This window comes from Homo sapiens, chromosome 5, assembly GCF_000001405.40.
Source record: "Homo sapiens chromosome 5, GRCh38.p14 Primary Assembly".
Lineage (NCBI taxonomy): Eukaryota > Metazoa > Chordata > Mammalia > Primates > Hominidae > Homo > Homo sapiens.
In genome coordinates, this window is record NC_000005.10 from 3,716,375 (window position 1) to 3,742,836 (window position 26,462).

General features: G+C 44.2%; 1 annotated feature.

Annotated features, from left to right (window-relative positions):
- Window positions 23,877-24,378: an enhancer, noted in NCBI's record as "H3K4me1 hESC enhancer chr5:3740365-3740866 (GRCh37/hg19 assembly coordinates)". NCBI's record gives its function as "activates a minimal SCP1, AML or CMV promoter by ChIP-STARR-seq in naive H9 embryonic stem cells {active_cell/tissue: H9 hESC(naive)}" and the evidence as "EXISTENCE:reporter gene assay evidence [ECO:0000049][PMID:30033119]".

The following is a 26,462-nucleotide window of genomic DNA, read 5'->3' on the forward strand; positions in this document are numbered from 1 at the left end:
TCTGCCTTCTGGGTTCAAGAGATTATTCTCCTGTCTCAGTCTCCCGAATAGTTGGGAGTACAGGTGTGTGCCACCATGCCCGGCTAATATTTTGTATTTTTAGTAGAGATGGGGTTTTGTCATGTTGGTCAGGGTGGTCTCTAACTCCTGACCTCAGGTGATCTGCCCGCCTCGGCCTCCCAAAGTGCTGGGATTACAGGCATGAGCCACCATGCCCAGCCAAAGCTATGTTACTTAAAAAAAAAAAAGGGCAAACTTTTCCCTGTCATACCCTGCAGGAGATTAACAAACCCACTGCACAGTATTATGGCATTTCAAGAAGTGCAAAACATGCCATACTAAATTTTATTTTTCAGATGTAGAAAACTAATTTAGGAATTGTTTTTATAACTACTTAACGACTCCCTCTGCCCGCCCTTGGGTGGACTTTATTGATCACACATTGCCATAAACTTCCCACATTGAGAAGTTGAACTTGACATTAAGGCACTTGCTCCCCAGCCTGTGATTCACAGCCCTGAAATGGTTGCTTCCAGGTGGTGGCTGGCTTGAGTCTTTCTAAGGACTCCACTGTAGGCTTGCTCTTTGGAACAATGTTCTCCTAAGAGTTCGTGTTTCCTACTTAGAGATTTTCCAGGTTATATTCCATTAAGACTTCACTCTTATAATATTTTTAACTTTTCTATAAAGATGTGCAATAAACACAGGCGAGGTAATAGGAACAAGAGCTGTCAGGAAGCCAGGGCTCAGCATAATTTCTGAAAATATGAGCACTTGATGGAGATGAATGGTTCTACTTCCATATGGCTTATTGTTGCCTTTAGCCTCTAGTGTAATAGCAACTATTAGGATTTTAATATATGGATTGAAAGGCTATTTGCTTCATATTTGATGAAATATTAATATTGCTCCTGAAATATGTTATAAATGCTGTGCTAATACGTCTTGATGAATTACATTATGTACAGGTTAGACTTAGCGGTTCCATTCTCACTTCAGAAAGTTATTACCGTATGTCATGGAAACACTTTAAATTTATGTTTAAAACCTGTAAAGTCTTCTACTTAAATATGTTATTAATTTTTAAAGTTCTGTTTTAGAATAACTATATATTTGTAACCAGAAGTGCAGTAAAAGAAATAAATTTGTATCTGAATTGGAGCAGTTGCTAAACGAACCAGGAAAGAATTACTTAGAGGAGAGACCTTCTTTTTCTGAGTAGATCTTTGTTTGCAGCTCTGTTTAAGAGGACCACAAGAGGGATTTTTGCTTTTCACCTCCCAATGCATTTAGGGGAAACTTTTGCTTATGGATAATTTCTTGCTGAGGGCGGGGGGAGAGAGGAAAAATGCTGGTGGTTCAGCAAACAGAAAACAGAGACTGTGACTGGCTGGCTCGTGCTCCCTTAAATTCTAATGCTGGAGTCCTGACCTCGGCTACCCCAGAGTGTGGCTGTTTTGGAAATAGCGTCTTTAAAGAGGTAACTGCAAGTAAAACAAGGTCTTTAGGGTTGACCCAATGAGACTGATGTCCTTTCGTTTGTTTGTTTTTTTAATTTTTAAGTTTGGGGTACACGCGCAGGTTTGTTACTTAGGTAAACTTGCCTCATGGGTTTTTTTTTTTTTTTTTTGTACAGGTTATTTCATCACCCAGGTATTAAGCCCAATACTCATTAGTTATTTTTCCTGATCCCCTCCCTCCTCCCACTCTCCACCCTCTGAAAGGCCCCAGCGTGTGTTGTTCCCCTCTATGTGTCCATGTGTTCTCATCATTTAGCTCCCACTTACAAGCGAGAACATGAAGTATTGGTTTTCTATTCCTGTGACAGTTTGCTAAGGATAATGGCCTTCGGCTCCATTCATGTCCCTGCAAAGGACATGATCTCATTCTTTTTTTATGGCTGTAGCTTATTCTATGGTATATATGTACCACCATTTCTTTATCCAGCAAACGAAACTATCAACAGGGTAAACAGACAACCTACAGAACGGGAGAAAATCTTTGCAAACTATGCATTCGACAGAGGTCTTATACCCAGCATCTATAAGAAACTTAAACATATTTATGAGAACAAAACAAACAACACCATAAAAAAGTGGGCAAAGGACATAAACAGACACTTTTCAAAAGAAAACATCCATGTGACCAGCAAGCATATGAAAAAAAGCTCAACATCAGTGATGTCTTTTTAATGAGACATTAGCACACAGAGCGCTGTGATAGACCTCTGAAGACCCAGAGAGAAGATGGCCGCCAACAAGCCAAGGACAGAGGTCTCAGAAGGGACCAGCCTTGCCAAGCCCTGGATGTTAAACATCCAGCCTCCAGAATAGTGAGAAATCAATTCTGTAAATAAATTTCTGTGAATGAAGCCACAGAGTCTGTGGGGCTTTGTTATGGCAGCCCCAGAGGGCAAACAGAGATGACAACTTGTTAAAGGGGCAGGGTCCTTAGCGAGACATTAGTTCCTGAAACTATCAGGAGGAGATGTTTATACAAACATGTTACCTTATAACCTAATATTTAAACCAAGGTGTGAGTTACAATATGGAAAGTCAGGAAACCATGCTGAGAGTTTAGATGTTCTGAGGACACTCTTGTCCTGCATCTATGTGTTTCTTTTCTTTTTTTAAATTTAATTTTACTTTATTTTAAGTTCTAGGATACATGTGCAGGACGTGCAGGTTTGTTACATAGGTAAATGTGTGCCATGGTGGTTTGCCGCACCTTTCAACCCATCACCTAGGTATTAAGCCCCACATGCGTTAGCTATATATCCTGATGTTCTCTCCAATCTCACACCCCTAACAGGCTCCAGTGTGTGTTGTTCCCCTCCTTTTGTCCATGTGTTCTCATTGTTCCACTCTCACTTATAAGAGAGAACATGCAGTGTGTGGTTTTTCTGTTTCTCTGTGAGTTTACTGAGGATAATGGCTTCCAGCTCCATCCATGTCCCTGCAAAGGACATGATCTCATTCTTTTTTATGGCTTCATAGTATTCCATGGTGTATATGTACCACATTTTCTATCCAGTCTATCATTGGTGGACATTTGGGTTGATTCTAACTTTGCTATTGTGAGTAGTGCTGTAATGTATGTTACGTATGCCTGCATATATGTTAATAATAGAATGATTTATATTACCTTGGGCATATACCCAGTAATAGGATTGCTGGGTCAAATAGTATTTCTGGTTCTAGGTCTTTGAGAAATCGCGATACTGTCTTTCACAATGGTTGAATTAATTCACATTCCCACCAACAGTGTAAAAATGTTCCTATTACTCCTCAACCTTGCCAGCGTCTGTTGTTTCTTGACTTAATATTAGGTTGGTGCAAAAGTAATTGCAGGTTTTGTCACCAAAAGTAATGGCAAAAACCACAAGTACTTTTGCACCAGCCTAATAATTGCCATTCTGCCTGGCATGAGATGGTGTCTCACTGTGGTTTTCATCTGAATTTCTCTAATGATCAGTGATGTTGAGGTTTTTTTTCATGTTTCTTGGCCACATAAATGTCTTTTTTTTTTTTTGAGAAGTGTCTGTTCAGGTCCTTTGCCCACTTTTTAATGGGGTTGTCTGCTTTTTTCTTGTAAATTTGTTTAAGCTCCTTGGAGATTCTTGATATTAGATCTTTGTCAGATGGATAGATTGCAAAAATTTTGTCCCATTCTGTAGACAAAGAAGACATCCATGTGACCAGAAAGCATATGAAAAAAAGCCCCATTTTGTAGGGTGTCTGTTCACTCTAATGATAGTTCTTTTGCTGTGCAGAAGCTCTTTAGTTTAATTAGATCCCATTTGTCAGCTTTTGCTTTTGTTGCAATTATTTTTGGTGTTTTCATCATGACATCTTTGCCAGTGACTATGTCCTAAATGATACTGCCTAGGCTTTCTTCTAGGGTTTTACAGTTTTGGGTTTTATATGTAAGTCTTTAATCCATCTTGAGTTAATTTTTGTACAAGGTGTAAGGAATGGGTCCATTTTCAGTTTTCTGCATATGGCTAGCCAGTTTTCCCAGCACCATTTATTAAATAGGAAATCCTTTCCCCATTGCACTTTTTGGTCAGGTTTGTCAAAGATTGTAGATATACAGTCTTATTTCTGAGATCTCTATTTTGTTCCATTGGTCTATATGTCTGTTTTTGTACCAGTACCATGCTGTTTTGGTTACTGTAGCCTTGTAATATAGCTTGAAGTCAGGTAGAATGATGCCTCCAGCTTTGTTATTTTTGCTTAGTATTGTCTTGGCTATTTGGGCTCTTTTTTGGTTCTGTATGAGTTTTAAAGTATTTTTTTCTAATTCTGTGAAAAATGTCAATGTTAGTTTAACAGGATTAGCATTGAATCTATAAATTACTTTGGGCAGTATGACTATTTTCATGTTACTGATTTTTCCTATCCATGAGCATGGAATGTTTTTCCATTTGTTTGTATTTTTTTCTGATTTCCTTGATCAGTGGTTTGCAATTCTTCTTGAAGAAGTCTGTCACTTCCCTGATAGCTGTATTCCTAGGAATTTTATTCTCTTTTTTAGTAATTGTGAATAGGAGTTCAATCATGACGTGGCTCTCTGACTGTCCATTGTTGGGGTATAGGAATGCTTGTGATTTTTGCACATTGATTTTATATCCTGACACTTTGTTGAAGTTGCTTTTCAGCTTAAGACACTTTTGGGATGAGTTGAGGGTTTTTTCTAGATATAGGATCATATCATCTGCAAGCAGAGACAATTTAACTTCCTCTCTTCCTATTTGAATACCCTATCAATTTCTTCTAGATTTTCTAGTTTATTTCAATAGAGTTATTTACAGTGTTCTCTGATGGCTGTTTTTATTTCTGGGTGGTTAGTGGTGATATCCCCTTTATCATTTTTATTGTGTCTATTTGATTCTTCTTTCTTTTGTTCTTTATTAGTCTATCTAGTGGTCTATGCATTTTATTAATTTTTTCAAAAATCACCTCCTGGATTCATCGTCTCTTTGAAGGGGTTTTCATATCTCTATCTCTTTTAGTTCAGCTCTGATCTTTGTTATTTCTTGTCTTCTGCTAGCTTTGGGGTTCGTTTGCTCTGGCTTCTCTAGTTCTTTTAGTTGTTATGTTAGCGTGTCGATTTGATATCTTTCCAGCTTTTTGATGTGGGCATTTTGGGCTATAAATTTCCCTCTTAACCCTTTTTTTGGGTGCATCCCAGAGATTCTGGTATGTTGTCTCTTTGTTCTCATTGGTTCAAAATAACTTCTTGATTTCTGCCTTAATTTTGTTATTTACCCAGAAGTCATTCAGGAGCAGGTTGTTCAATTTCCATGTTGTTGTGTGGTTTTGAGTTTCTTAATCTTGAGTTCTAATTTGATTGTGCTGTGGTCTGAGAGAGACTGTTTGTTATGATTTCAATTCTTTTGCATTTGCTGAGGAGTGTTTTACTTCCAATAATTTAATCAATTTTAGAGTAAGTGCTATGTGATGCCTAGAAGAATATATATTCTGTTGTTTTTGGGTGGAGACTTCTGTGGATATCTATCGGTCCATTTGATCCAGAGCTGAGCTCAGGTCCTAAATATTCTTGTTAATTTTCTGCCTCAATGATCTGTCTAATATTGACAGTTGGGTGTTAAAGTCTCCCATTATTATTGTGTGGGAGTCTAAGTCTCTTTGTATATCTCTAAGAACTTGTTTTATGAATCTGGGTGTTCCTATATTTGGTACATATACATTTAGGATAGTTAGCTATTCTTGTTGCATTGATCCCCTGCATTATGTTATGCCCTTCTTTGTCTTTCTTTGTTGGTTTAAAGTCTTTTGGTCAGAAACTAGGATTGCAACACCTGCTTTTTTCTGCCTTCCATTTGCTTTGTAAATTTTTCTCCATCCCTTTATTTTGAGCATGTGTGTGTCTTTGCATGTGATATGGATCTCTTGAATACAGTACACCAATGGGTCTTGACTCTTTATTCCTCTTGCCATTCTGTGTCTTTTAGTTGGGGCATTTATCTCATTTACCTTTAAGGTTAATATTGTTATGTGTGAATTTGATCCTGTCATCATGATGCTAGTTGGTTATTTTGCAGACTTGTTTATATAGTTGCTCCATAGCGCTATTAGTCTCTGTACTTCAGTGTGGCTTTGCAGTGGCTGGCAATGATTTTTCCTTTTCATATTTAGTGCTTCCTTTAGGAGCTCTGGCAAGGCAGGCCTGGTGATGATGAATTCCCTCAGCATTTGCTTGTCTGAAACAGATTTTATTTCTCCTTTGCTTATGAAGCTTAGTTTGGCTGGATATAAATTCTGGGTTAAAAATTCTTTTCTTTAAGAATGTTGAATATTGGCCTTCAATCTCTTCTGGCTTGTAGGTCTTCTGTTAGTCTGATAGGCTTTCCTTTGTAGGTGACCTGGCCTTTCTTTCTGGCTACAAACATTTTTTTCCTCCATTTTGATCTTGGAGAATCTGATGATTATGTGTTTTGGTGTTGATTTCTCATGGATTATCTCACTGGGTGTATTAGTACCTTTTTATACTTCTATAAAGATATACCCGAGACTCTGTAATTTAAAAAGAAAAAGAAGTTTAAGTGACTCACAGTTCCACATGGCTGGGGAAGCCTCACAATCATGGTGGAAGTAAAGGAGGAGCAAAGGCATGTCTCTACATTGCAGCAGGCAAGACAGCATGTGCTGGGGAACTGCCCTTCATAAAACCATCAGATCTCATGAGACTTATTCACTATCGCAAGAACAGCATAGGAAAAACCTGCCCCTGTGATTCAATTTCCTTCTACTGGGTCCCTCCCATGACATGTGAGGATTATGAAAGCTACAATTCAAGATTATATTTGTGTGGGGACACATCCAAACCAGATCACTGAGGTTATCTGGGTTTCCTGAATTTGAACATTGGCCTATCTTGTTAGGTTGGGGAAGTTCTGGATGATATCCCGAAGTAGGTTTTCCAACTTTGTTCCATTCTCACCATCTATTTTGAGTACCTCAATCAGTCTTATGTACAGTCTTTTTACATAATCCCATAGTTCTCAAAGGTTTTGTTCATTCCTTTTCATTTTTTTCTCTAATCTTTTCTGCTTGTCTTATTTCAGCAAGATAGTCTTTAAGCTCTGAAATTCTTACCTTTGCTTCATCTATTTGGTTATTGATACCTGTGGTCACATTGCAAAGTTCCTGTTCTGTGTTGTTCAGCTCCATCAGGTTATTTATGTTACTCTCTAAACTGGTTATTTCGGTTAACAACTCCTGTAACGTTTTATCATGGTTCTTAACTTCTTTGCATTGGATTAGAACATGCTCCTTTAGCTCAGCATAGTTCATTATTACCCACCTTCTAAAGCCTGCTTCTGTCAGTTTATCCATCTCAGCCTCTGCCCTGTCCTGTGCCTTTGCTGAAGAGGTGTTGCAATCATTTGGAGAAGGGGCACCCTAGCTTTTTGAGTTTTCTGCATTTTTTCATTGATTCTTTTTCATCTTCATGAGTTTATCTACCTTTGATCTTTGAGACTGCTGACCTTTGGATGGGGTTTTTGTGGGGACTTTATTGTTGATGCTGTTGTTGTTGCTTTCTATTTGTTTGTTTTTCTTTTAACAGCCAGGCTCCCCTTCCTTAGGGATGCTATGGTTTGCTGGGGGTCCACTCCAGACCCTATTCACCTGGTTCCCTCCCATACCTGGAGGTTTTACCAGTGGAGGCTGCAGAACAGCAACAATGGCTGCCTGCTCCTTCCTCTCGGGTTTCTGTCCCTGAGGGGCACCGACCTGATGCCAGCAGGAACTCTCCTGTATTTGGTGTCTGGAAACCACTGTTTTGGGGGTCTCACCCGGTCAGGAGGCACAGGATCAGGACCTCCTTAACGAAGCACTCTGGCTGCCCCTTGGCGGAGGGAGTGCACTGCATTGGGGGCAATCCCACTCGTCCAGGCTGCCTGGATTCCTCAGAGCCAGCAGGGGAAAGAGCAAGTCTGCTGATCCATGGAGACCACGGCAGCCCCTTCCCCCAGGAGCTCAGTCCCAGGGAGATCAGAGTTCTGTCCCTAAAACCCGGGCTGGATTTGCAGAAATTCCTGCAGGGAGGCTCCACACTTTGAGGAGGTATGGGTCAAAGTCCAGCCTAAAGAGGTTGTCTGGCCACAACCCACCACAGCCACTAATTCCTCCTGAGTCCAAACTGTCCAATCTCCCTGGCACCAGCAGGAGAAAAATGGCAGACTGGAGCTACAGTGATGGCGATCACCCCTTCCCCAAGGAGCTTAGTCGTCTTAGGCAGCAGCCATCCCCAGTGATGGCGGCTGCTCCTCCCCCTGGGAACTTGGTAGTCTTAGGCAATCTTCAGCTGAGTGGCTGCCTAGAATCTGCACAGCTCTGTGCCTGAGACCCAAGGCCCTGGTGTCGTGGGCTCACAAGGGGGATCTCCAGATCCACGTTTGCACTGATCCGTGGAAAAAGTGTGGTTTCCCAGGCAGGGTAGCACAATCACCCACCGCCGCCCTTGGCTTGGAGTGGGAACCCCTTTTGCTCATGTGGCTCCCAGGTGGGCCATTGCACCACCCTGCTTTTCCTCACTCCCCGCAGCTCGTGCCAGCTGCCTAGTCAGTCCCAATGAGAGAGCCTGGATACCTCAGTTGCTGGCGCAGGATTCACTCACTGTTTGTGTTCTTCTCGATAAAATCTCCGCCTGCAGCTGTTTCTAGCCAGGCATCTTGGCCCCTCCCTGTAGGTATTTCTTTAAAATTATCTTTATTTATCAGAAAAGAGTCTTTTTTTTTTTTTATGGAGTCTCACTCTGTTTTCCAGGCTGAAGTGCAGTGTCACGATCTCAGCTCACCGCAACCTCTACCTCCCGAGTTCAAGTGATTCTCCTGACCCAGTCTCCGGAGTAGCTGGGATTATAGGAATGTACCATGACATCCAGCTAATTTTTGTAGTTTTGGTAGAGATGGGGTTTCACTATGTTTCCCAGGCTAGTCTCAAACTCTTGGCCTCAACTGAGCCACCCATCTTGGCCTCCCAAAGTGTGGGATTGCAAGGGTGAGCCGCTGTTCCTGTCTGGAAGAGAGTCTTAAGTCAAATGTGGGACACCAGGGCTGCAGGGTGCACCAGGCTTTGTGGCATCCAAGATTCACATGAATGGGGGGGCGGGCATGAAGGAAAAGGAGATGGTATTGTGGGGTTCCCTCCCAGGCACTAGGAAAGAAATCTTGAGGCTGAAGAGTCCTCGGCTTCACAAATCTTCCCGGACACAGGCACGGACCCTGCACTGATATTAGCCACATAGGGTGCCCTAACTTCCTTTCTCCGCCGTTTTAAACTGCCCTGCCTGCCTCCGTCTTCTTCATTTTCACTCCTGTCCCTGACAGGGACCCTTCTATGGCCTCAAATAGGCTCCAATCCCTGGCAAAACCCCTGCAGAATGAACTTCCCCCTTACGACCCCTTATGAAGTTTTCTTTCCAGGTCAATGTTCATTTTTTTTTAAATTTTCCCTTCCTTTTATCAACAACTTTGTCAAAAGGCACCTTGCCCCCAATTCTTACACAGGGAGTGGCCAGTTTTCAGATATCAGGGGCCCCTGCCTCAACCTTTTAGTACTTTATCTAATACACCCACTTCTATAACATTTACCCTGCATCAGACTCATCTCAGTATTTCCTGTGTCTATAAGCTCAACTGAAACTCCATAACACCGTGGGGAGGTGTTCATGTTGTCCGCCTCGACAGCTGAGCTGTTGGTCCCTGGCATAGAACATGATGCACTCCCTGGGACGAGGTGGTGGCAGCGCTCAGACAGAGCCCGCCTGGCTTTGGCTGTCCCCTTCTTCGTGGACCCTGAGTGTGCAGAAAGCTCACTGCCCTTATCCCAGAGTGGGAAGGACCTGACATGAGTGGTCCTTTCAAGGCCTCTCAGCACCTGTGTGAGAATCGGAAAGAAGGGGCCATGTCTAGCTGAGAGAGGGGGCTGGATTCCAGCACTCCTGCCCCTTGGCTGGGCTCCCTGGTGCAGAGTATAGCTTTCGCTGCCTTCCTAGTGGCATGGGCAGCTGGTCCTGTCGATGGTGCACACTGGCAGGTCTCCTCTGGGGAGAAGTATTTGGTGCAGCTGCTTAGGCACAGTTGGCATCTTTAGGGGTAGGAGGGAAGCACCTGGTGCTGTTCCCTGGCTTGGCCAGGTCTTGGGTCTGTCTGATATCATACAGCTCCACCTCAGTGATGACCCTGGAATCTGCCGTGGCACTTCCAGGCCTTGGGTGAGAGGCCACAGTGCTCTGTGAAAGCATCGCACCTGCATTGCCCAGAGCTGTAGCAATTCCTGCATCAGCACCAAGTGCAGCTCAGGGGCCACAGGAGCCTGTGCTCAGCCTCACCAGGCAGGTACCCTTCTCCAGGCAAGGTCTGTGGGTCACTGCCCTCCTGGAACCTGGGGTAAAATCTTCTCCACTCCTGGTTTTCTCTTCAATCCATCCCATAGCATCATTGTGAGACCTGGGCTCAGTGCACCCAACTTCCACCCAAGGAGTTTCTTCAAGAAGCTGGATGGAGAAAACAGCTGCCCTGAGAATGCATTCACATTTCAGAGACTGCACGTGGTTGTAGCCATGAGGTTCTGGTATTGCATAAGAAGTTGTGCTGTAAATCAGGAGCAACCACCAGTGAAATCTGGAAGAAAATTAGGCAGCAAGAAGCGTTAAAGTCAGAAGTGCATGTGAGTGCTGGAAGCTCTGCAGAATCAACCTCAAGTCAACACAGTCACTATTCCAACCTCAATGCACCAAAGGAGTGGTGCCGGAACAGGGACACAGCTCTAAGCCACCCTGGAGAAGGCTTATTGGTTTCTGTGACCCTCCCAGTTCAGGGTTATGAGCATCTGGCCATGTGTCAGGACGAGACAGCTCTGCTGGGAGCTGGAAAGAGAGGCGGTTTCCTTCTCCGTATACCGGGAGCTGGGGTGGGAGAGCGTGTGATGCTGCAGACACCTTTGGATTGGGCGGTGAGTGGGGGGCACAGAGCTGGGACCACTCCCTTCTCGTGGAGCAGCATGGCTGGTGCAGGCCAGCACAAAACACACACACACATATACACACACACTCTTTCTCTCTCACACTTACAAACACACACTCATACACTCACACATTCACATGCACACACAGCCTCATACACACATACACACACATCCACTCACACACTCATACACTCACACACACTCATACACTCACACATTCATACACACAGACTCATTTACTCACACACACTCATCCACTCACACACACACTTAAACTTATACACTCACACACACGCACTCACACCCATACACTCACACAAATACACCCAACTACCCTCACACACATACACACACTCACACACACTGTTACACTCACACACACACTCACACATTCACACAGCCTCATATACACACACTCATACACTCATTCACTCTTACACATACACTCTCATACTCCCACACATACACTCACACATTCATGCATACACAGTCTCATACACTCACACATATACACACACATACACACACTTATCCACTCTCACATACACTCACACTTACACTTATACACTCACACACATGTACTCACACACACCCATACATTCACACACATACATCCTCACACACATATACACACTCATATCTCACACTCTCAACCCCCTACACTCACATGCACACATACATACACACACTCATACTCTAGCACACACACATATGCCCAAACACACACTCATATGCTCACACACAAACACATACTCTAGCACACATGCTCATACACTCACACACACACTCTCACTCTAGCGCGCGCACACACACACACACACACACTCTCCTGTTCATGGTGTGCCTGGCCCCCGTTTGTCATTTCAGCAGCTGCCCCATCTGCCCCTTAGCCATGACCAGTGGAAAACTCATCACATGGTGCCCATCTCTTCCATACACTGCCCTATTCATTCCGCCAGTGCCTGAGTGCCAGGCACAGTACCAGGTCCTGGGACCCTGTTGGGTCACGCTGCCACTTCATCTGTGCCTTCTGTCTCATGGGGCGAACGGACACCTGCACGTCTCTGCTCCAAGCAGCGGGGTGGGAGCTATGAGCACAACATGGTGAGTGTGGCATTATCCCCTGGAAGATTTTTAGTAACGATCCTAATTACCTCACATTGTCTGGGGCCACTTGAGCTGGTTTTCTGGTTCCAGGCCCAGCGCTCTTCATCCTCACCATTCTGTGAGTCAACTGGTTTCTTCCCAGATGGGCTGTGTCCCTGCCTGTAGACGCCTCTCTCAGTTCAAGGAGTCCCCTTTGCATTCCACCACACAGACGTGCCTTCTTCAAAATAAAACTTTCTTTAGGAACGGAGACCTTGTAATTCTTTCTTGCCATACTTTGGATTGGCAGGAACCAGTTTAATAAAACACAAGGTTTATACACTTGCTAGTGGGAAATAGCACAACGTCAAAACAAAGCAAAGCAAAGCAAATCCTTTTATCTAACAGTTTAGTGTGGATTTCTGAGCCCACATAAGCCTCTGAGAGCCTCCTTGTCGTCGTCATGCTCTAGTCTCTGGTATTAGGTTTTTGAAGGGAGGTCACTTTCCAAAGGGCTAACAACCTTGGACACTGGAAATGTGGGGAAAGCCTGCATGTTCAATCCCTTAACCTTTGTTTTAGAGAATGGCTGTGTGTGCTATGATTATGTTTGAGGTTGTATCACATGTCACTGTTTCTAAGGAGTAACATGAAGCTGTCATAGGAATTATCAGAGGAAAGCATCTTGTTATCTGAAGTATCACTGTTAAAGAAATCAGTGAGAGTTTCTGCATCCTGAGGGTGTGGGGGCCCCAGGGATAAGCACCCTTGAGTGGGGCAGACACCCCCGGCAAAGACATCACCATGGTTGTCCCATAAACAGTCCCTCTGAACAGTCTACTTGCTTCCTTACCCTTTCTCCAACTAGCATCTTGTTCTAGAAATGACTAGTAATTACCTTGTTGAATACTATAAGCAATGATATATTTTGATTTCATAGAACAATTAACATCTGTCTCTGTGAGGAAGAGCAGGAAAAAGGAGTGAGTGAGGTCCACATGGTCTAAATCACCCAGGTAGTTCTGGGTGCTTGTTTGCAAAAGATCAATGACTTTAATGGACTGAAACAATCATTTAAAAAAAAATTACATAGAATAATTTCTAAGATGAGAATTGTTGTGTTTATTGTCTCCATTTTTTGCCAGCTCATTGTTTTTGAAACATTTTCTCCTGGGAATATTCGGATGTTACTATACATGCTGCCGAAGTGAGCACAAGATATTCAGATTTTATTCACTTGAAACTGAAGCGTGATGTAAGTAAAAACCGTGCTATAGTTTACGTGTTGTCTAATCTGTTGCTTTTCACTTCATCCTGTTTCACCCTTTCACTGTGGTTTTGCTTTCTTACAGTGGCTGACTTGCACATGTTTTAACAGAGTGGCGGCTGATTCATTGAACAGTTCGAGGGGCAAAGGAAAAGAAGTCCCTTTCACTTGCCATTTTTGGGTGATCCAACAGCCGTCTTGGCTACCAGCAGCTGGCCCCAGCATTACCACTGGGCTTGACTTGTGTCTCATAATTTCAGTTGTGCCTGGTGTCATTTTCTTATACAACCATTTCTTTATTAAACACAGGGTAAGGGGTGGAGAACCACAAGCTTTGAAAGGGAATTCTCTTTCTTGGCTATTACAGCTCACACTTGGATTTGTGGTGTTACCATTTGTGCGTTACTATAGGGTAGAAAACTATTTCCATGGATGGAAATTGTTAGCCCCCAATTGTGGCTGTTTCTTCAACGTAGTTTTACATGATTTGACTTTATTCTCTAAGTGGCTGTTTATGTTATGCATGAAATCATTCTGTTTGCCTCTGGGATTTGTGTGATATGAGGGCAGCTAACTGTTTTTGTTAGGGTTGTTGGTAAAGTGACGTATTGTCATGAAAGAATTAGGGGGCATTTTGAAAACTGACCTCGAATGCTACTTGTATGCACTGCAGATTTGGAGCAGGATTGCTGAACATTTATTATATCCTAAAGTTAGGCATCTGTCCCCACTTACATGTCACAGTTTTGGTTGTTTAACACAAAGATTGCCCTGCTGCAAGGCTCTTGCAGATATAACCTGAGAGACTCAGGCTTTCATGCTTTGAATCTTGAAGGGTCTCTTTTTTTTCGTTTTTTGATTTCGTTTTTTGACTGTCACAACTACTTATGATGGAGCTGAGTTTGACAGGTATAATAGAATGAGAAAAAAAAATGAGCACAACATGGAGAGCTTATGGAAGTTTCAGAAGAGAGCTCCAAAATGATACAAGATTTGAACATAAATCCCCTTGAGAGAAGCTTCAATAAATTTTGCTTTTTTAAAAAAAAAATATATATATATATATCTCTGAGGATGGAGTTAATAATTGTGGCTGGGTCTGCATAACAGACTTCAGATGGCTGGACTTGGGGGCAACAAAAATGAAGTGGCCTATTTAGTGATGTTTTCCACCACTAAATGTCTGGTTTCAGGCTCAAATCAAACACCAAACCACAGCCTCCACCTACCCCTAACGTGGCACCTTCCCTGCTACTCTTGTCCAAGACCTCACCAGCGAGAGGGTTTTGTACTACAAAGCTTACTTAAACTTGTTTTTCTTTAATTCTTCCCCTTTTAGCTAAAAAGTTCTGTGGCCACTCACTTTTTCTTTTAAATTAATTTTGGCTGTAGCTTATTGACCACCATGATGGGTAAATGTCATATGGACCATTTCATCATGGCACACATCTGTAGACATTAAAAATGTCACTATGACTTGAGAATAAAATGCTTACAGTGCTGGTGTGGCTGTGCACTGGAGGATGCAGACTCAGCCCTGGACGCCCTTTACAGGCTTCTCAGAGTCCCACAAGAGCCCAGGAACATTGATTTTCTGCATGTAAACTAGGACATCCTTTTCTTCTTGTATTCAACAGTAAGCGTCATCTTAGCAGTGAGATTTGCACTACTGACTGCTAGACCAGCTCACGTCATCATTGAATACACACAAAAAAATCTTAACAGGAAGGAAACAATACCCTTCAATTTATTCTATAGCTGCGACTCCTTGGAACTTCTGCATCCCAGTCATGGAGATGCAGTCAACGTGCAGATTGATCTTTATTGATCTTTAAATATTCATTGATCACATAACATGAGCAAAGTACTATCCTAGCAACCAAGAATCAGTGACGTATAAGACACAGCTCCTACTGTTAACCAGTTGTATTTTCATGGTGGAGAGAAAGGACATGAACAAGCATCCCAGTTCAGGGAGGTGTGCTGGAGATGGAAGAAGACACAGGTGCCCCTGAAGCACAGGGGACTTGACCAGATGCTGTGAGAAGCAGGTGCTTTGGAGAAAGAGCTGGGTGGGGTCTCAAGTGGGGATCGGCAAGGCCCCTTCCAGCGTCACCCCGTGCTACGATTGCCCATATTTGTCCAGTGGGAGCCCCTGCGCTGGCACTCTTGTCCTTTGGACATAGTCCTAGTGTGGCATCCTTTCTTGTTTGCATGACAAGGCATCACAGACTCATCTTTTCCATGTCCAGCCCCAGTCGTGGAGTCAGCCATTTCCCCAGGGAATCCTTAGTAGCTCCTTAGTGGTGTCATTTGGATGTCAGGTAAACTAATATTTGCTTAATAAAAAGTGTGCTTTTCAGAATTTGGAGGTACAACTATAAAAATTATTTATTGTACCTTTTCCAGTGTAAGCATATATCCTCCCATGGTGTTGGCATCATGAAAAAGTGTACAGCTTCAATAACAGGAGGTTAGTGAAAGGTGTTTGAACATTTTGTTAGATAATGTTATGCTTGCATAGGGTATACAACATTTGTATTTAATGGTGAATGCATTTTAAAGTCAATAATTCTTAAGATTCCAGCTTGTCAGTTTATCCTAAATATTTTAATGAGCTCTAACTAATGCAGCTTGAAGTTAAATAAACATTTAGGAAGTTAATTATTTTCCACTTAAATAAGAACAGCAAGACATTATTCTCCAGACAAAACTGGTGCATACTAGAAACTATCTGGAGGCACATGTAAGGGTGAGACTCCAGCGGACTTCTCCACAAGGCAGATCTGCGGCCCCGACCTGCAGGGAGTGAGGAGAGCAGCAAAGTGTTCGCCACACAGAAATACAGACAGGAATCTCAGCCCATGAACTGTCGTGGCTTCTGGAGACACACAGGGGATGTGATAATAAACTAGGAGACCTGAGCTTCAGTGCTGCTTCTGCCTCTGCATAGCAATGTGACTGGTGACTGATCGCCCTGTCCCTGGACTCACCTTGTAAGCCTGTAAAGAGATGGAGCTGAACCTCCTGATCAGAAGGATGTGTGTTCCAAGGCATGCCAGGACCTCTGACCACCGTGGATCTGAAATGCTGCTGATCTTAAATGTGCTGCAGAGAGGGCCGGGCGCGGTGGCTCACGCCTGTAATCCCAGCACTTTGAGAGGCCGAGGCGGCGGATCACGAGATCAGGAGATCGAGACCATCCTGGCTAACACGGTGAAACCCCGTCTCTACTAAAAATACAAAAAATTAGCCGGGCGTGGTAGCGGGCGCCTGTAGTCCCAGCTACCCGGGAGGCTGAGGCAGGAGAATGGCGTGAACCCGGGAGGCGGAGCTTGCAGTGAGCGGAGATCGCGCCACTGCACTCCAGCCTGGGCGACAGAGCGAGACTCCGTCTCAAAAAAAAAAAAAATGTGCTGCAGAGAGTCTGATAGAAGAAGAGTAGGATGCAGACCCCACCCTCAGTGTGTGCAAATTGGGGTGGTCAGCTGGTCTGAAGGAAACTTCCAGAACAAACCATTTTCGTAGACAGGCATGAAGGGTGATAGTCGTGGACCTGCGCAGGCACAGATACAACCTTAAATTCTGGGGAATTGTAATTATTAATTTTCCTTTGCCTGAAATGTAGGCTGCCCCCATTTCTTTATTTTCTTTTTTCTTTTGCAACTTATTTTTTTAGGGTGTTGTTAAGAAATCCATAAGAGCAACTGTGAATACTGAAATCCCTTTCTTTTTCGTAGAACAAGAAAACTCCTGGCTGCCGTAGGAAGCAAAATCTCATTTCTCCCTAGAAAAAGCAGTCCCTGGAGTGATGAGGAAGAATATTTGGCAGAAAGATGTCTCAGAGCCCATCTTTGATGCCTCTGCTGTCTATCGAGCTAGCTCTTGTTTTTGCTAGCACTAAATCCCCAAAATACGATTTTCTCCACATCTTGAAGCCAAACTTTATTGACAAAAAGTCCCTATTTAAGGATGACCTTTCTGTCCACCTAACCAATTAACCTCCACACCACATTTTTTTAATCCCAGTTTTGATACTAAATCCAAAGGATGAAGCCAATCTTTCGTGCCTCAATGCGGCTGGGTTTCCTGAGGGCTGCAGCTCTGGGCCCCTCCTGCTAACTGCTGTCAGCAGCGATAAGTCACCTGTGGATCTCGAGCTGTGCCAGAGGCCACATTTGTTTCCAGGACGTGTCTGACCCTGTTGACTGTTTCACAGGCTGTCTCAGAGGTCTGTGGTCACTTTATGGTGTGGTGACATCCAGCAGATACCAGGTGGAATTCATTCATTTAAAATGTGAAAAATAGAAGGAATAGAGAACTTTAGGTCATGTGTTTTATTGCTTACTACTTTTAGGAGCTTTAAGCAAAACATATGTTCTTTTATTAGTTTATTTCTCTCAACATGCTAGCTGGTAATACTTCTTTAAGTAGAAGTTAATTTTTAAAAAGCGTGTTTACAGTAAGTTGGAGGAAAAGCTCAGATTGCTAATATCCCTGACAGGAGAATTGCCTGCAAGACTCTTATAACTAGTTGGATTCCAGGTTGCATCCCAGGGGCCATTTATATTGGAAGGTTTTTCCCAGACCTTGGTCAAATGAAGAATGAGCTATTCTGGAAACAACCTGTCTACAGGTATCTTAATATCTGGCATGTAATTTATTAAATATATCCATCGGGACAAATTTTTAAATACATAGATAATTCTAAAATTTAAACTGGACTTGAACTCTTGCTATGACACCTCTACAATTGTAAAAACCACATTAGAGTTCTTCTATGAGCCTCTTTAAAAACTGGCCCATTCCAAGGATTCTAAAGAATTCTAATGGTTTCAAAATGTTTTCTTCTATCAAGCCAACATTTGCTTTTTTGTTACTTTCACTTATTGGCAAAAATTTTCCTTGGGGGGAGAATACAGGTTAGATCCACTCTGTTTCCCTCTTAAAATATCGGACTCTCAAGCCAAGTGTTAGGCATCTTTGGTTCTGTTGAGGGATTCATGACCCCTCAGTGACGTGGTTTTGGAGAAGACACTGGACTCTCTTGAACCTCAGTTTTCTCCCCTGTAAAAGGGAATATAGCGTCCTCTGGTGTTCTGGATTAACAAAGTGTTTTGGGAAATACAAAGCTGCACCCTGTGGGATTATTGTGGGATTCACAGTGACAATAAGGCTGTGTCAAGGTGTCACGCCCTTCCGGTCATCTCTTCTTCAACATTCGCACTCATCATTGTCTTTGGTGACTCTTTCACAGAGCACAAATCAGTCCAGCTACTGTTGAACTATTATAGGTCACTCTGGGGTTCTTTTTCCTCTTTTGTAGTGCTCCATATTACCCCCTATGAAGCACTGCACACACCTCTCAGAGGCAGACGCTTCTGTGGCACCAGGCACCATGCTTCCCTCTGACAGGTGTCCTCTTCCAGGTACAGGGACGAGGCTGCACTTCACCTGCTGAAATCAACATCCGTCCTGGCTGTTTCTGCTGCCCGTGTGCTCACCCTCACTTACCCTTGAGGTTCAGCCTGAGCCCCACACCCAGGAGGTCCTCCCAGGAACAGGGCTTGTTTCATCCTCCACGTCTGACGTCCCCACCCCTCCAGCATGACCTCACTCCACTGCCTTTGGGTTCAGGTGATTTTCACCTTTGAAGGCAGAGATTAAGCCTAATTTGTTACATTTCTAAGATTTAGTTTAGAGCAAACTAAATGCACCCACACATACACACAGATATATATACTACATATACATGTACACATATAATATATACTATAGGTAAACATATATAAAAATGTATATATAAATATATAAACATATATACATATATACATATATGTATAATTATATATATAAATATAAATGACTGGAATGTTTTCTGAGAAATGTGCATTGCGATTTTATCTTTATGCCAACATCAGAGAGTGCACTTAGACAACCTAAATGGTACAGCCTACTACACCTCTAGGCTGTATAATTTAATCTAGGACTCCTAGGCTACAATCCAGTGTAGCATGTGACTGTCCTGAGTGCTGCAGGCAATTGTAACACAATGGTAGGTATTTGTATAAATATATATTTATACAAATATATTTAAACATGGAATATATATATTAAACTAAATATATTTAAACATAGAAAAAATATGTAAAAATATAGTAGTATAATCTTATGGGACTACTGTCATATATATGGACTGTTGCTCACCAAGACCTTGTTATGTGGTGTGTAACAGACGTGTGTGTGTGTGTGTGTATATGTATACACACACACAAACATATACACAGACACACACACACACACATTCTATTGGATTTACTTCTCTGGAGAACTCTGGTTGATCTGATAGATGTTTCTGCGATGCTGGCACATCTTACTTGTTCCCTAGAGTTACTAAACTCTTAGAACAATCTAAGTTTTTCAGAATCAACAACAATGGATATATAATTCTCCCAAGGTTTTTTTTTTAATTTTCAAGCGAATACTTTTCAATCAAATAAGAATGTATTGAGTATCCGACACACTTCCAAATTAGCACCTGTCATAACTACCTATTTTTTGAACTTCAGTCTGCAAATAAGGAAACTGAGCAGATAATATTCATTTATAGCTATTTGCAAATATAACACTATTCCGTGGTCCCGGGAGGGAATTCTCTAGAGTGTCCGGGGTCTCTGTCTTCTGAAATTTTGCAGACCTCAGAAGATATCAGGGTGTGATTAGGGGACAAAACAGGGCCATTTGGAGCCACGGGTGGAGGAGCCTCTGTGTTCACACTGCGCTCAACACAAGCCGAGCACGCACATGGCCACGCTCCAAACAGAGCGGAGCTGTGCGGTTCCAGTCACAGAGGGTCAGGTCCAGCGTTTGCACTGAGGCCTTAAGAAGGCCGAGGTAGGAAAGGCGAGGCCAGAGAGGGGAGCTGGTTGCGGGGCAGGCATCAGGGAAGCCCGGGAGGGGCTCAGCTTCGAGGCCCCCGGCTGAGCGCATCCTTGAGGAGCCCGTGCCAGTTATTTACTCTGGGATTTATCTTGAAGTTCTAGCTCTTTTCTTATTTCTGCCTTTTTGGGAATGAGAAGTTGAAGAAGAAAAAGCTGTTGGGAAACAACATATCTCTGTTGGAGTGGAAGTGAAAAAGAAACACAAGTGGGCCGTCTGTGCTATTTTGAAAACAAAACAAATAAGAAAAGAATAAATTATAACTGAGTTCACGCTGAGCACTCACAAAAGTTTCTTTCAGAGCTCACCCTAACTCCTAGTTTACTGACTTTTAAAAATGCTTTGTTTAGTCAAAACCACATGGCATATCCAGGACAGATCTTTCCTTCGCCTTAAAGCAATCTTAAGTATAAATAGAGAATACAAAGAAACGGCTAAAAAGGGAATGAATTCTACAGGGAGCCAACACAAACATACATAAGACGGCATGACGTCACAGCTGAGAAGTGCCCTTCCTGGCACCACATCACATGGCGCAAAGGTTGTTCCCTAATGAGGGTTTTATCTCCTGCGAAGGGCCCTGGGAAAGGCCACGTGTCAGCACAGCCTTGTCCTACCGGAACTTCTCCTGCAAGGGAAAGATTCACTTTTGAAAACCATAGACCGTCTGACAAAAATGCATGCGACGGAAGAACATGGGCACATTGGGAATCCGACCACTGTCCAGACAGGTGACGGGTCACTTCTGTGCTCTGAAGCAGCCAGCCCAGGCAAGTGGTGAGGCTGAGGCTCCTGGCCTCAGCACCTGCTCTGTCCGCAAGCCCACCCGCCCTGCAACCACCGTGTGGGTCCACTGGACACATTGCATCTAGTTGGATGGGTTTGGGTCATGATTCACTTAGAGGCTAAAGGGGCACCTGCAACGTGGGTATGTCTGGTCATCCTTCTTTAAAAACAGCCAACTTGGGAGCCTGGGACATTGACACCTTGTGCCCAGGCCTGGAGTATTCTCTCCACTTTGGTTTCCCTTTAGGCACCAGCAGGGTGAGGGTGCCTGATAGAGGCTTGCACACACGATGGGATGGGTCCTGGCCTGGCACTGTAGGTAGAAGCCGGTGCTGCTTCGTGGTGGGGGCCTGTGTCAGGTGAAGATCTGTCAACCGCATGACACAGTGCAGAGATGACTCCTGACGAATAGACTCTGAAAGGAGTGAGTTTCTTTTAAAATTCTGCTGATAAATCTGCATCCACTTTGAAGCTCCGAGCATTATTTTCTAAGGTTTTTCTGGTTACACTAATTATATGTTACTAAAAGCAAGCTGTCTTCATTGTGTGTGACAGAGCCCTAAAAATATATTGCTGACTGGAGGAACCCACGTTAATACAGAAGCCAACTAAATCCCAGGGCCCTATTACAGGATTTCTAAAAGAAGGTTATGGAATGCAGCTATTTGATGACTCAGAAGTGTTTGTCGTCTTATAATTAGGGAAGCTAGAAGGGGTATTGCAGGCTCGGTGGGATCTACTCAGACATTGGACTGAAAGCTGCAGAGGAGATTGCCTGAGAGGGTCTCGGCAATTCAACAGGTGGTGGCCTTCCCAAGAATAACGATGCTTTCAGTTTTCTGACTCTTGGTTAGGGTTTTGCAATGTAGGGCTTGTTCCCTGAGATTTGGCCTACACAACCTGCAGGTGAAGCCCTTAGTATGACCCAGGAGATGCAGCAGAGCCTGCTGCTGGAGCCAGGCATGGCTTTCTTTAGAAGAACCAGAAATGCTGAGACATCTCTTAAATTTTGAGTGAAAATATCACAGGTACTCTTTTTAGCTTTTGCGCTTGGGAGAAAAACTAAGCCTGCTTACAGTCTTAACCCAGCTAGTGAAGGCTCCTGGCGGACGTGCACACTAAGCACATCGGATGAGCTGTTTGGACCAGGGTGAGGGCGCACCATCAGGCCCTTCCCGCATCCCTGTTGGCCTCACTGTTCCTGCAAGACTTACACTGGGGAAACTTTTGAAAATGAAAATGTAACTTGCCGGGCGCGGTGGCTCATGCCTGTAATCCCAGCAGTTTAGGAGTCTGAGGTGGGCAGATCACCTGAGGTCAGGAGTTTGAGACCAACCTGGCCAACATGGTGAAACCCCGAATCTACTAAAAATACAAAAATTAGCCAGCTGTGGTGGTTGGCACCTGTAATCCCAGCTACTCAGGAGGCTGAGGCAGGATAATCACTTGAACCCGGGAGGCGGAGGTTGCAGTGAGCTGAGAATGCACCATTGCACTCCAGCCCAGGCAACAAGAGTGAGACTCTGTCTGGGAAAAAAAAAAAAGGAAAGAAAATGTAACTTAATTTCCTTAATGCAAATCTCAACCCAGTAGGCTAAATATCAGCAGCTGAGACCCTCAGGCTTGAAAGGAAGGCAGGTGCAGCTGAGGTTTCTTGAACTGCCTGTCTGTGGAACCTTGGGAAGTTGTTTCTGCTTTCTCTTTTGTAAGAAGGAACACGATTTGCCTTGCTCATCTCAGGAGGCGCTTGAATGAAGCAAATGAATTGATGTGAAGGAAAACACTCTGCAAGTTAGGAAATGGTCCTCAAAAGTAGGGAAGACTCCAGCCACAGCAGTGAGCCCTGGCCGAAAGCTGGGGTGACATCTCCTGCTTCTATGCCGGCCCCTCCAGCTTCAGGCTGCACAGCTGGGCTTCCCTTCACAGTGTCCTGTCAGGATGAATGGGACTGCACGTGATGGAGAAGCTTCCAGACTCAAGCTGACTCTTGGTGATAGTACGTTTAAGGTGCTTTTCTCCTTTCACTTCTTGAGGATAGCTGCTGAGCAGTCCAGGATGGAAGGAGGATTTGTGCTTTTGCCTATACGTGTCCCTGGGCGTTTCTTCATTCGCTGTCCTCTTTTAGGAGCTGTACTTGCAGTGGTGGAGCTGGAAGCCTTCTCTAAGGGCAGTGAAGCCGCACACTTAGAGTTTTCAGGTGGGCCGCATTGACTTAGATGCAGGTGAGGCCTCTGTGATGCCCTGAGCCAGCCCAGCTCCATGCCGGTGCCAGCCAGGCCCGGCCTCGGTTTCGCTCTGCAACAATGGGAAGGTACCCTTTCCTCCTCATGATCCAAAAGTTGCTCTGAAGACGATGTGACAAATGTCACCGTGTGAGGGACCTCGTTTGTGACTCTTGTGTTCTAAGACCCACGTTGCTTTATTGCCTAGAGGTTCCTGAAAGGAGTGCAAGAGCTGGCCTGTGCTTTGGTGGCTGAAGGAAGCTCTAAAGCTCTTCCATGGAGGGCCCGTGTCAGCCACTCTCCCCTTCAGTTAAGTGACGGATGGACTTGCCTGGTTTTAGGATCTTATTCAGCGGCATTTCTTCAAGTGAGTTAATTGGATACTAAACAATTCTCCATTAACAAATAGAAGCATTTCACGTGGTTTGTAAGTATTGCAAACACCAACACTGTTTATAATATTATACATTATCATAGAGATGACACCATATAATATTCCACTGAGTTTGGTGCCCAATAATCCAGAAATAGAATAAGCATTGTAGTCAGAATATCATTCAAAGAAGGTCATTAAAGTAAAATATTGTGTATTTTGCAGGTTTACTCAGACACAAAAATGAGGAAACTTCACTTTAGATAATTGATCAAGTTTCTTTTCTCCAGAAGCTGTTTTCTTGACAGGCTCATCCCCAGACGGGCTGCCATGACCTTCAGGTTCACTGGGCAGGTGAGAGCCAGGCCCCACTGTCATCGGTTCCTTGAGTGTCCCAGGGAGGCTCAAGGCCTGGGCCGGAGGGTCTGAGTCCGGTGTGAGGTGACCGCGTGCTGTGCTCTGCAGGGCCAGGCCTAGACCCCGACGTCCCAGTCCCAGTCTCTGTCTGCCCAAGTGGGCGGGAGAATCTGGGGGAGGGAGGGAGAGGCTGCTTCCCAGGCCGTCATCCCAGCACGGCTTCCTCACTGGGAGGACGCGGCTTGTTCCCATTTCTGGAGTCAGGCTGTATGGGCCCCTCCACAATCTTCAGCGCCGCGTCCCTGCAGGTCCACATGTCCCCCGCGGGCCCTCCCCTGGTTTCCGATGCCCATCACCCAACCTCTTCTGTGTCCTCAGCCCGGGGTGGGGGTGCAGCCCCTGCAGGTGCCTCAGGGTGTCTGTGCTCCCAGCCCTACCCACTGCTCGGTCAAACCTTCACATCGCCTTCTCTCCTGCGCGCAGCTGGCGGCTTCTATCTTCTGACCCACCCCAGCGTGCCTACCGGCTTTCCTCACACCTCACTGTTCAGGAGAAGAGGGAAAGGCGACCCTTGCCCCTCCTCTACATCTGCCCACGGGACCCCCTGGTGACAACCCTGTGGGGAGGGGACAGCATGGCAGGGCCACAGTGTAGGCCTGGGAATTAAACTCAGATCGCTACAGGGAGACCAGACAAAGCCGGGGCATGGGAGTATTTAATGATTCATTAATCCTCATGTGTTTAGAGAAAGGATTGTTCATACAGCTCACCTGGAAAGAATGTTCCTTGGTGTAAAAGTCTGCTCTATTCATAAAAAGCTCCCTTGAACTGACTTTGGCAAATGCCCAGGACCGGGTTACGTGTCTGAGGAGAGCTTTATACAAATAGTACAAACAGCGTAAAATTTAGCGCCAGTCTGTAACACCCACCCCCATATTTTAATGAACAATTACTCCAATTGGAACCAAATATTTTATACCCCCTGGTAAGTTTTCTGCCACCTGCCCGTGAATGTGCTTCTCCCTGATCTGCAATTCTGTCAAACTCTTACGCAGTCTATTTGCTTACACTGTTTATGACAGTCACATCGTGAAACATCTCTTTGTTTAATATCCTGGAATTACACAAATCAAGGATTCTTTTGGCAGGCCTTGTTAGGTAAACATCCTTAAAGGAGTGGCTTCCATGGCAGAGGCCGGCGTGGGCTGGATGCCTTTGTCTTCGTGGTAACAGCACTCAGAGCTGGCGTATCACGCATTGCTTTGTAAGTGTCTGAGGATCATGGTCCTGCTCCTTCCAGGCAGCCTTGCTGAGCACTAGACACACACCTTGGATTGAGCTCCTGTTGGGAAGCACATATCTGAGGATTGCAATGAAGATTGTCCCCACAAACTTTTAATGGAACTTTTAGTATCGGTATAGGCTTAATGGAGCAGTTGAGAATAGAACAATGAGTTCCCCGTACCCCTACCCTGTCTCTCCATTTGTTAACGTCTTATATGACTGCATGTTGACGTGACTAAGGAACCAACGCTGGTACATCACTGTGTGCTAAACTACACCTAATTTCTATCTAATATCCTATTCTGACCCAAGATCCAGTCCAGGGGACCACATTGCATGTCATCCTCATATCTCCCTAGGCTGCTCTGACCTCTGAGAGTTTCTGAGACTTTTCTTGCTTTAATGGCATTCAGAATTTTGAGGGACAACTGCTCAGGTATTTAGTAAAATGTCCCTCCACTTGGGTTTATAGTGACTTTCTTATGGTGAGACAGGGCTTACGGATGTCAGAGGAGATGAGCAGAGGGTCCAGTGCCGTTCTCGTCCCATCATAGCAGGGGCACATGCTATCCGTGAGGCTCAGCGTTCATGTGTTCATTTTGATCACCTGGCAGAAGTAGCGTGTGCCAAGTTTGTCTACTGTAAAGTTACTTTTTGCCCATTTCTGTGATGTACTTTTTGGAAACAAGTTACTAAGTGCATCCCACAGCCGAATGAGAGGAAAGAGAATTACGCTATATGTCATTGAAGGCAGAGTATCAGCATAAATTATTTGCAATGTTTCTGTATGGAAGACTTGTCTCTTCTGTACATCTGGTTATTTAGGCATATAGGTATGGGCAAAGGATATTTATTTGATTTCTTGTTTTATAATCCAACACTATGCAATTTGTTTTGCTGTTCAAATCACTTCAGCTTTGGCCACAAGGGACACTTTCAGGTTCTCCCATGTCCTATAGGTGTGTCCCCACCCTTTAGTTTTTGGGGGACTCCCTTACTTTTTGGTGCTTCAAGATGCTCCAGGCTCCTCTTGAATGTCTGCAGGCACAGTCCTACAGTCAACTGTTTGTCCAAGGAACCCTGGTTCATTTTCTTGAAGAATGGCATCAGAAGTCAAGTCAAACACTGAATGTGCTCCTTCATACTGGGGT